Source organism: Homo sapiens, chromosome 14 (genome assembly GCF_000001405.40).
Source record: "Homo sapiens chromosome 14, GRCh38.p14 Primary Assembly".
Classification (NCBI taxonomy): Eukaryota; Metazoa; Chordata; class Mammalia; order Primates; family Hominidae; genus Homo; species Homo sapiens.
Genome location: NC_000014.9, coordinates 99447837 through 99460086, shown reverse-complemented (window position 1 = coordinate 99460086; position 12250 = coordinate 99447837). Strand labels below are relative to the sequence as shown.

General features: G+C 41.4%; 1 protein-coding gene across 9 annotated transcripts in view; it reads left to right on the top strand.

Moving 5' to 3' along the window:
- SETD3 (SET domain containing 3, actin N3(tau)-histidine methyltransferase) overlaps positions 1-12250 on the top strand; it is an 88711-nt gene that overhangs the window by 26372 nt on the left and 50089 nt on the right. For all 9 annotated transcript variants that reach the window (XM_017021699.2, XM_011537233.3, XM_011537231.3 and 6 more), the window contains 2 exons: positions 902-974; positions 1552-1808. In XM_017021699.2, coding sequence (XP_016877188.1) covers positions 902-974; positions 1552-1808 — 330 coding nt within the window. The remainder of the gene's footprint in view (positions 1-901; positions 975-1551; positions 1809-12250) is intronic.

Sequence of the window (12250 nt, the reverse complement as noted above, 5' to 3'; positions counted from 1 at the left end):
TTGGTGAAAGCAAGATGCCACATGTTCTTCTCTTGTGACAGATTCAAGGCAGTATTTGTGTGGATGCTGCCCAGAAGATCCGAGCTGTGGACTTTCCTCACTATGTGCTTTTGTGGGGAGGCGAGGGTTGGGGAGGAGGTCTTAAACAACAGACATTTATTTCTCACAATTTGGAGGCTGAATGTCCAAGATCTCAGGGTGCTGGCATGGTCTGTTTAGGTGAAGACATTCTTGGTTTGCAGACAGCTGCCCTCTTGCTGTCTCCCACATGTTGGAGCGCCATGTGCATGTTTTTTGCAGTGTAGATACACAGGACACAGCAAAAGGAAGCAGCCTGTATTGCCAAAAAATGAGAAAAAGCTTTGGGAAACAAATTTCTAAACCAATGTGTCTTCTGGGCATGTGATTTCACTAGTAACTGTTGTGCTTTAAAGATAAGTATGTAGAGGAAGGAATGTTACTCTGGCTTCAAAACTCAGTAGTAGTAGTAATTCACATCGACAGATTAGGGTTTTTGTTGGAGGCAGGAATTTTGTTTTGATTTGGTCTGGTTTTAGAACTTAAAAGTACAGTAAAGTATACAGTAAACGCCTTTATGCTCTACTCCAAATGTTATATTTGCTTCAGGTTAAAGTTGAAAGTCCCTTTTTTGATTATTTGCTTCTCAGCATATGTAGTTTTTAGTTTTTCTGTTGGAAACAGGATTTTAAGCTATACTTCTACTCATTTAACTATAAGATAAATGCTTACATTTTAAAATGTATTTGAATATTTATTTGAAGTGCTGATATGCAGCCTTAAGTTGTACTTCATGTGTGATTGGATTTCTGACCGTAGATATGGTTGGATTGAAGACTGTACCGTGTTTTGATGATTCTCCTATTATTATTTTTTTCCCTAGGCAGAAGAATTGTTTTTATGGGTTCCACGAAAATTGCTAATGACTGTTGAATCTGCTAAAAATTCAGTGTTGGGTGAGAATAATTTCTGACTCTTCAAGGCAAAGCACAAATGACAAAAATATGTAAAATTCCATTTTATGGCACTAAGGATAATACTTGGTTTTTCTCGACTGGCGAAATATTCCCTCAAATATGCATTAAGTGTTTTTCATTTAATGTTATAAAAAAGATGCACATGACCTTTATTTATTATTATTATTATTTTTGAGATAGGGTCTCGCTTTGTCACCTAGGCTGGAGTACACTGGCACCATCATAGCTCACTACAGCCTTGATCTCCCAGGCTCAAATGATTCTCCCACAGGTGTGCACCACTACATCTGGCTAATTTTTTTTTTTTTTTTTTTTTTGTAGTGATGGGGTTTTGCTATATTGCCCAGGCTGGTCTCAAAGTCCTGAGCTCAAGCAATCCTCCCACCTTGACCTCCCAAAGTGCTAGGATTACAGGTGTGAGCCACTGCGCCCAGCCTGTACCTGACTTTAAATGTTACAAGACCTTTTAGTTTTTCTGTAATTTGTAAACGTATATTTAAATGAAGTTTTTAAGAAGTTTGTGGAACTTACGCTGTTAACTTCTGGGTTAATTCAGGGCCCTTATATTCTCAAGACCGAATCCTTCAAGCCATGGGAAACATCGCACTGGCCTTTCATTTGCTGTGTGAGCGAGCCAGCCCTAACTCCTTCTGGCAGCCCTATATTCAAACCCTCCCCAGTGAATATGACACTCCTCTCTACTTTGAAGAAGATGAAGTTCGGTATCTTCAGTCCACACAAGCTATACATGATGTCTTCAGCCAGTATAAAAACACAGCTCGACAGTACGCCTACTTCTATAAAGTCATCCAGGTGAGCAGCTGTTTGCAATTTAAGTATATATTTCACAGAGTGGGGAGGAAAGAGGAATTGAGTCCATAAATATTCCATTTGATGTCTTATTAAGGATACTTAAACATTTTACTTTTTAAATTGAAAATATAAAATACATTTCATCGTTTGTTTTTACAGAAATATCAATGAAATGCGGTTACATATATATATCTGATTTCATCAGTGCCCAGTGTTAATACAAGCAGCAGTTGTTCCTGAGTTATTGAAATCACCAAGTTTTTTTGTAAACAAAAGATCACAATGAAATTTTAAAAGCCTTAAAGCATATCTAATGCAATAAGTTACTCTGTGTATAAATTTTTCAAGAAAATGAGGGTTAATTTTTTTCTATATATGTTAGTGTAAAATATTGACAGTTAATTTAGCAAATTATAACATTTATGTTTTTCAACGTGTACTGTGTATTAATTTTAATTTGTTCTCAGTGAAAGTTTCTCATAGAAATCTCTATAAGGCTCCAAGTATTTGAATTACCTGTGATGACACCTTTCTGTATTTTGGTGGTGTGGCCACCGTTATCTTTCATTTGCAGTTGAACAGCAGTCAGAAGGAACAGGGCCAGTACCACAGTCCCCACCAGGACTGAGAGGCAGTGTGGCTCCTTCTCCTGATTCTGCACAATCTGAATCACTCAAGAGTCAGCTCCTGGGCTGCTGTTCTTGAGATACGACAAGTGGGCAGGTGAACTACTTGCTCGCTTTCCTTGTCTTTGGTTGGTGTGACAACCTGAATTAGGTTTGATTTGGTTGTTCCTTAAATGGTCTATCCTTGCTATGTTTTATTTGCAAGAAGTGGTAACCTCATTTCATTGCTACAGGTGATATTGCTTTCCGTTTATTATTTTCACTTTGTAGCATGCTTACTACACAAGAATGTTACACTCAGTTACATCTCCTCCTCCAGCAAGCACTTCAAATATGTCAAAAATTATACATGACTGTTGTCTTCATGTGGAAATCAATCACTCGGTTTTTCTAAACTTTAGGAAGTCATTAGGAATGGTCATACAGTATGTATATAGCTTTTATTTCAAGTTGGCTTAATTTAAAAACTATTGATGAAGCCAAATCAAAACTTTGCTTCTTCATATAGTGTGCACCTGCAGTCCTGCAGTCTAAGGTTGGTTTGGCTCTTCATGACCTGGAAGGGTTATACTTTTATTCTTAGTTCTCAATGGTATATCTTTCATGACTAAAGGTTAAGCTGACTTTAGTAGGTCTAAGTATTTGTCATTTTCTCTTGCTGGACAATGAACTACAAGCTGGCCCTTTTTACTAATGTGCTTCTAGTTTGCAAACGCTGGTAGCCTGCTCTGAGAGGACTCTCTTCTGTTGGCAGGTTGGAGGGTCTAGGATGATGGCAGGTCTTCTGATAACCGACTTGGCGTGAATGAGCTTTGGCTGTTTCTTTGTATTAACTGGTCCATTTACTTCAGTATTAACTAAGTAGTGCAGCTTTGCTTCAAAATTTGATGAGTTTTTCAATGGCTGTGAGTCACTAAAATACTCTGTTCATATAGATGGAACCATTTTTTGTCAATTTGTTTAAGAGCCAGGTGTCTTCATAACCCCCTGAAATAAGCTTCCTTAGATGATGCTGAGATGCTACGGGGATTAAATTATACCACCTTCTATGTAATAAACGGTGTCATTGTAAACATCTCAGGAATTAGAGAACATTCTAAAAGTAAACGATTGAGAAGCTTTCCCAAGAGTAATAAAATTCCTACATGACTAATAAGAACAATTTGTATAATTTATAATGAGTACAAATATCCTTTTTAAAAACAACATTCTTAGAGCACTAATCTTTTTAAAGAAATTATTCCTCTTTACTAAAAAATTTAGTCAACGACGATCAAATATGGAACATACAAATGTGAAATTACCAGGTAATCAAATGTCTGCACAGTTGATTATATTTTTTGCAATTAAATCAGTCTGAATATTTGAAAAAAGTACCATGATTTAGAAATCAAACTGGTTACTTTTATGTCAAAAGTATGAAACTGAGAAGAGCAAAATGTGTCTGGTCACACATATAAGTTCTTTTATTTTATATCAGACTTTTTTTTCCTTTTGTGAGACAGGGTCTTGCTGTGTCACCCAGGCTAGAGTGTAGTGGCATGATGATGGCTCACTGCAGCCTCGACCTCCGGGCTCAAGCAATCCTCCCACCTCAGCCTCCCCAGTAGCTGGGACTACAGGCATGTGCCACCACGCCTGGCTAATTTTTCGTATTTTTTGTAGAGATGGAGTTTCGCCACGTTGGCGAGGCTGGTCTTGAACTCCTGGAGTCAAGTGATCCGCCCGCCTTGTCCTCCCAAAGTGCTGGGATTACAGGCGTGAACCGCCTCGCTCAGCCTGAAGACATTTTTTATTGTTGAATTGGGAGTGTGGGGTACCACTGGCATCTAGGTTAGAGGTGCTGCTACACTTCTACATATAGGGCAGCCCCTACAAAAGGCATTTTCCAGCCCCAAATGTCAGAAGTGCTGAGAAACCCTGCTTTGTATTTATATACAGAACAGAGCACCTCAGTTACCTATATGATTTAGAAAATCACAGTTCTTCCCACCTAATGATTGGAAGCCTGAGGCCTACCAACACTGGTTGTGAGTGACTTTCACCATTTTCTCATGAATGTCTTCTCGTTAGCTGATTCCAGATCCCTTCCTGGCTGTAAGTGCATCCTGTGGTGAGGAGAAGGTATTTTAGAGCACTTTTTTGGTCACTGGCATTTAACACATACCCCTTCTTTTTAAGAACCTACAAATAAAAGACCAGGTTTAGAGATACTTGACTTATTAAGGATACAAATACAGGGGAACAAACACTGAAAAAATGTAAACCTAAGATTCAGGTTATAAAATCATGCAGATTTGGAGTAAGGGGCTGAGTTGAGATCCTTGGCATTGCATGTTGAAAATGCGATATGCATGATGGGGTGGGGTCAGTTCTCCGTGTTAGCTGGGGGACTTCACAGGAAGGAGCATTTGAGTGATGGGAGGGAAGGAACCCTGGCCCCTGGGCCGGGTATTCCTGAGTGTGGTTAGGAAGAGTTGAAACAGCTGTATCCACTGTCCAAGTGAGAGGCGCTGTGGCTGCGTGGAAAGAGCACATGCTTTGTAGTAAGACAAACCTGTATTGTATAGTTCATTTGCTATTTACATATAATTTGGAATTAAATATAATTTGGAATTAGTTGCTTTACTTCTCTGAGTTTGTTTCCCAGTCTGTAAGATAAAAATATGAAGACCTGTTTTTTCGTGTGACCATTGTCAGCCCAAGTTGGAGTGTTTATCAAAGCAACTAGCCTGGTGCCATAGCACCTGTGGTTGTTAGGAGTCAGTTTCCTCTGGGAAACTGTGGAAATGGTGGGGTGAAGCTCCCTCAGCAAGTGCAGTGTGGTAACTGAGAGGGCAGGCTCTGGAGCCAGCCTGCTCGGGCTGAAATCACTGCAGCACCACTTAGAACTGTGCCATTTTGGGCCGGTCTCCGCGCCTTCCTTCCCGTATCTGTAAAGGGGGCTAATGGAGTGCCTGACTCCCAGGGTTGCTGAGCGAGCAGAGTTGATCCACGTGAGGCCCTTAGCACTGTGCCTAGCACACAGTGCTCATTGTAGAAATGCTCTATTTATGCTATTACTATTTTGTGTTTGACCCTCAGGCCATGTTATTTGGTTTTGTTTTGTTTTGTTTTAAATCACTTCTCCTGTCCCTTCAGTATCTTATGTTAGTATTTCTTAGAGTGTTTTCTACTAAAACAAAACTCCTGGTGGCCAAAAATAACATTCCTGCAAGTCTAGGGGCTAAACCCATAGTGACTCGTCACAAGCTCAAAGTTGCTGTCAAGCCTGGGCAACCCATCTCTACAAAAAATTAGCCAGGTGTGGTGGCATACACCTGTCGTCCCAGCTACTCGGGAGGCTGAAGTGGGAGGTTGGCTTGAGCCTAAGAGGTCAAGGCTGCAGTGATCTATGGTCACACCACTGCATTCCAGCTTGGGCAACAGAGCAAGATCCCATCTAAAAAAAAAAAGCATTTGCTCCCAAGATTCATGTTTTTGTTGTTGGTTTTTGGACTTGTGTTTTTAAATCTTAAAAATTCATGCAAATGATAATGTTTGCTATTTTTAAAACCATGTTAAGTGACTTACCATCAAGTCAGATGGGTATTACAGGAAAACAACCCTGCTTTCTCCTAAGACCTTGGGTTGTCTCACGCTCCAGTGTGAAAAGCGCAGTCTTTACGTGTAGTAAGTGCCATGAAGCTGACCACGTGGGCAGTTCAGATGTGGTTCTTTTTCAGAAGAAGAAAATGTGACAGTCACTTAACATGGGTAAAACTAACCAGCTGTGAAGGGATCATTACATATTGATAATACACAATAATGAGCTTTTTTTTTTTCTTGAGGTGGAGACTTGCTCTATCACCTAGGGTGGAGTGCGGTGGCATGATCTCGGCTCACTGCAACCTCAGCCTCCCGGGTTCAAGCAATTCTCCTGCCTCAGCCTCCTGAGTAGCTGGGATAACAGGTGCCCACCACCACGCCCAGCTAATTTTTTGTATTTTTAGTAGAGACGGGGCTTCACCATGTTGGCCAGGCTAGTCTCGAACTCCTGATCTCTGGTGATCCACCCACCTCGGCCTCCCAAAGTGCTGGGATTACAGGCATAAGCCACCGCGCCTGGCCAATCATTAGAAAATTTCTAATGATTTAAAGTAAGTTCCTATTGGAATAGGAGCTGTAGGCACCCTAGAATGAGGTGCACTGCGGTGGCAGGAAGGAATAGGCTGTGGGCTAAGAGCTTTTGAATGAGGGTTCATGACAAAGCAAAACACACTTAAGCAAAAATTATCTTTTTAAAAAATTGTCTTTTGAGTCTAGCTGTTTTTCTAGTTTTAGAATGTTCTCATCGGTTCTAAAAGTCTTAAGTAATAAATTGGAGTGAACACAAATGTAAACATTGCATTGCTGTTGTTTTATAAAAGTGTCGTATTTTCTCATCTCAGTACCAAACCATGTATCTTTCCCATGCTTTTCCAGGATCAGACGTTAGGCCTTTGCTCCTTTTAGTAGGTCACCTCATCAGTGCATTGTCACTCAGGGAGAGAGAGAGGATTATTACATCAGTTCCCAGTTCATATTCCATTACTGTGACCTGCTCTCAGTTTTTTTTGTTTTCGGCATTGAGGCTGTTAACCTTTTCCAGGGTCATGGGGACCCTCTCCCTAGAGAAATGAACTTGCAGATCATTTGGCAGGGTGCTCCAAATTCAAGAACCTCATTCGCAATTTTTATCTGTGATTTCCCATTTAAAATAGTTTTCTTGGGGGCCTGTACCAAACTCTGCATGTGAACTGAAACCTATTTTGTTTTCTCCCCCCGCGATCTGCCTGCTGGCTCGGAGGTCTACAGGCCATGGCTTGCAGCCCCTGTCTCTGGGTACTTTGGGAGTGACAGCAAGCACAATTCAGTTCTGTGCATCCCCGGTGGTGATCCTGGTTTTTGGGAGAGGAGCATGGAGAAGTGATAATAGTCCATTCAACCTTACAGCTTGCTTCAGGCTTTTAGGGTTTTTAATTCTAAAAGCATCAGTACTGACTTCTGGTATTTATACATCTCTTTGTGTCGATTTCTCTGTATTGCATTTTTTATTTATTGTTTTTCTCTCTTTGGTGGTGGTTGCCTAAAAACTAGAAAAATAATTTCCTGTGCTCTGTCCTCCCAGCAGATTTCCTTGATCCAGGACCTTTTAGTGTGGGCACTTAGTTCAGATCACCTTCTGTCTTTAACTTGCTTTTATAGTTTGTTTAAAACAAAAGTCTTGGGCTGGGTGCAGTGGCTCACGCCTGTAATCCCAACACTCCGGGAGGCCGAGGCAGGCAGATCACGAGGTCAAGAGTTTGAGACCAGCCTGGCCAACATGGTGAAACCTCGTCTCTACTGAGAATACAAAAATTAGCCAGGTGTGGTGGAGCGTGACTGTAATCCCAGCTACTTGGGAGGGTGAGGCAGGAGAATTGCTTGAACCCGGGAGGCAGAGGTTGCAGTGAGCCGAGATCGTGCCACTGCACTCTAGCCTGGGCGACAGAGCAAGACTCCGTTTTGGGAAAAACAAACAAACAAACAAAAAACAAAGTCTTTCTGGGCCCCTGCTCTAACTCGTGTGTATGGTAGGGGCTTGGGCTTTACGAGTTTTGAGGAGTCCTTCCAGTTTTTACATTGTAAAATGTAAAACACCTGTATGAACACCTGAATGCTACATACAGTGTATGTCAAATATCTTCTTCTTGACATCTTCTTCATGAGATGTTTGACACTCACTGTATATATCCTTCAGGTGTTCAACAGATAATAGTGTGTAACCAGAAGCCTCACGCTGCAGGAATTTTGAGAGCATTCGTTGTATTAAGATACAGCACCTGGGCCAGGTGCGGTGGCTCATGCCTGTAATCCCAGCACTTTGGGAGTCTGAAGTGGGAGGGTGGCTTGAGTTCAGGAGTTAGAGACCAGTCTGGGCAACATGGCAAAATCCTGTCTCTACTAAAAATACAAAAAATAGCTAGGCATGGTGGCACACGCCTGTAGTTCCAGCTACTTGGGAGGCTGAGGCAGGAGAATCGCTTAAACACAGGAAGTTGAGGCTGCAGTGAGCCGTGATCACACCACTGTACTCCACCCCTAACCCTAATCCAGCGACAGAGCGATACCCTGTCTCAAAAAAAGAAAAAAAGAAAAAAGATACAACACCTGCTGCTGAAACATCATACTGCAGCTTGATGGTTGAGGAAAGTCTACCACCCAAACTCCAGAAGCTAAGTTTAGAAATTGTGGCTGAGCCAAAGGCTAGAAGAGGCTTGTATGAAATGGAGCTAAAATTTATGTCAGTTTGTGAAACAGAGGCCAGGGAAGAAGAGAGGGCTCATGGTGGAAGGCCGAACTTGGCATTTAAAACTGTTGCAACTTTAACCCTAGAAAAATACTAGCAGATCAGAACATACCAAAGTTCAGCTGTAAGTTGAGACTTTTGCTTGGAAATGGATGACCAGTTTTGTGATAGAAATAAGTGGAAAAGTAGGGTTTGGCTTAAACCCTACTTTGAAGTACTATAATTGTGTGAAAGCAACGTATATCCTATCAGATTTTACTTACCTTAACATAGTTGAATGATTAGCTCAGATGTTTTTCATCTATGCCAATGAAAAATAAATTAATAGACCCTGTGAATGAACTGTTTAATTGATAATCAGTGCCATGTAATGGGCCCAGTGCTGTGACGTGGGGCACCAGCTTGTCTGAAGATTAGCTTATCTTAGAGACATGTACATTTTTCTATGTTGTTGAGATTGAATGTAATGCTTTTTAAGTAAATGCAGGCATACAGGGTTTAACGGAATAGAGACATATCTATTAAATTTATTACTACTATTTTTCAGTTGATCTCATCACTTAAGTGATTTGTCACACCTTACTTGGATTTCTTCTTTTGTGTTGATCCAACCATTTGAAAGGTGCAGGGGAAGGTATGGAGATGGAGAAACTCATATGTGTATCAACTGCCATGAATTTTGTTTCGAGGCAAGCATCATTGCAGCAGCCTCCCCCTTTTCCTGCCTTATGCTTCAGGATGGAGTAAGGCAATTTCAAGTTGGCCATCTTCCTCGAACAGGCAACTCCTACCTAGCCAGAGCTGAGTGGCAGAAGAGACAAGCAGCCATGTTCACAACTTACTGTTGCTGCAGCCTGTCTCTGAAAACAGGGCCCGCCAAGAGGCAGAGGAAGATGTCACTTTTGGTTCTTGGCATCCTGTGGCAGTTGTGGCTAAATACAAACATTTTCTGCTGTTCTACTTGTCTCTGACAGAGCTACACAAGAATAGCACAAGATGTGAATTTCCAGAGATGTATTTAGCCTATGTTTTCATAAAGCTCTCATCTACATTTAGAACTCTGATAATACATGAGGCCTTCAGGAATGTGTACCAAATTAGAGTGAAAACCTCTGGGCATCAGCTTAAAGATCCCAAGGCCCTGAAATTCACGGAAAGGGTTTAGACGCTCAGTAGCATACGCTGTATATAGCTACGTGTCCTTTAGCACTGTAAGGGAAAATACACATATGCTTTATATAACTTGGACTCCTCTGTGGCAGAGGTTGTATACAGGAGTGTCCCAGTTTATGCATAGATTGTATTGCAGATTGTCACTCTGAGTTGGCATGGGGCTCCTCTCCCTATTCAGCTTCTTCTATTCTGTTGGTTTATCTTAAGTGTGAGGTATCACACCAGGGATAGGGACTAGTATTTCTGGGGATGTGAAATTTGTTTGTTTGTTTTTTAACTTTTTATTTTGAAATAATTCTAGACTTACAAAACAGTTGCAAAATTTGTGCACAGAACTCCTATATACACTTCACCTAGCTTCACTTAAAGTTAACATCTTATACAGCCTTCAGTTTAATGATCTAAACCAGGAAGTCAACCGTGGTACGATACTATTAACTGATCTGCAGACCTTGTTTGAATTTCACCAGTGTTGTCCTGGCATTAATGCCCTTTTTTCCCTTCCAGAATCCCGTATTGCATTTAGTTGTCGAATCTTCTCAAATCACTTCCAGCCTGGGATAGTTCCTTGGTCTCTCCTTGTCTTTCATGACCCCGGCACTTTTGAAGAGCACTGCTGGCCTGACCGGTTACTTTGTAGAGGTCCCTCAGTATGCATTTGTTGGATATTTTATCATGTGTAGACTGAAATTACGCATTTTATGCAAGAATACCATGGAAGTAAAGTGTGTCCTTCTCAGGGAATACATGAATCAATATGTCTTTTTGGTTTTTCCATCAGAAGTTACTGTTTTTCTCTTATAATTAATGAATACCTTATAGAAAGATACTTTGAGACTATGCAAATGTCCTGTTTCTCACCATCAAATATCCTGTTTCTCACCAGATGCAAAAACCTGATAGATACTGGTTTTTGTATCTATCATGATTTTTGTCTGTAATAGTTACTACTGTAGTGTTTGCCAAGTGGTGATTTTCTGTCTCCGTTATTTCTTCTACATGCATTCATTGGGATTTTACTAAAAGGAAGAGCTGTCCCTTCTTCCACATTTATTTACTTATTCAGCTGTTCATATCGGTATGGACTCATGGATATTTATTTTATTTGATAGACTATGTAATCCATTACTATATATTTGATACAAAAATGGTTTTAGATGGCTCTTCATGTAAAGATACCTGATTTCCTCGTCACTGATAATTTGAGAGTATGTGTCTTGTGCAGTTTTTGCATGGAGTGCTTAATAAAAAATTGCTGAAATTGATGCATAACACAGCAGATCATTTATAAAGTTCACTTGGCCTCAGAGTTCCAAGAGTGACTGTGGCCACTGCTTCCTGTGTGCCATTTTCCTGACCTCAGTTTCACTTAAATGTTTCCCTAGAAGCAAACGTGTTCCATATGTGACATTTTTTGTTCTCAGCCAACTTCATGGTAACATTGCATCTGCTGACTGAGGGGTATGAGCTACAAATTGAGGAGGGACAGAATAGAGTCAAAGATGATGGTGAGGGTACAAGGCGGTCAGTTTCATAGGCCGGAGGTGTTGAGGTTGATGAGCCGTGAATCTAGATTTAATCCTTGCATTCTATGGTCATGGGAACTGGGTAGATATTATGGGGCATAGAAGGGAAAGAATGATGTCTGTTTTCAGGTTGTTCATCTAGGTTGGCTGGAGGACTTTTCCAGTGAGGTAAGCAGCATTCTTCACAGTGTGCCCCTGGAACTGTTCTGTCGGAGCGGCTCTTTTCCACGTCGTAGGAAACCCGTGGCTGCAGATGGAAGACACTGCGTGAGAAGGGGGCTGAAGCTGTGCTGAGAGCTGCAGATGACGCTTCTGCCACTGCCACTGCCACTGTGACAGTGGATTCAGTAAGAGTGACTCTCCCTGGTGCAGTGTCGGCTCTCTTCTCAGGCTTTGATCCTTACCCTGTGAGGGAGTTTCAGTCCTCATTTTTCAAATGGGGAATGGGAGAAGTTGAGCAGCCTGCCAGAGGCTTATGGTACCTGCACTTGGAACTGGACTCCAAGCAGGTCTGTTAGACCCAAAGCCTGTGCTCCTAGCCACAGGGGCTCACCAAACCACTGTCTTAGTCTTTAAGGTTGTGTCTGGTCTTAATTTTGGGACAAAGAAATAGTCTAGTTTTAAGGGCAGAGCAATCTTGTTTAAAATCTCCTCTCTCGCACTGGTATTTCACAGAAAGCTGGGTGTGGCCCTGCTGACTGAGGACTGCGGGCCTGTCAGTCCAGCCTGTGAGCTTGCTGGCAGTCTCTTCCAGCTCCCTAAAGATCACTCCACCTCTTCGTTTTACTCTGTGTTGGGATTGAAAGA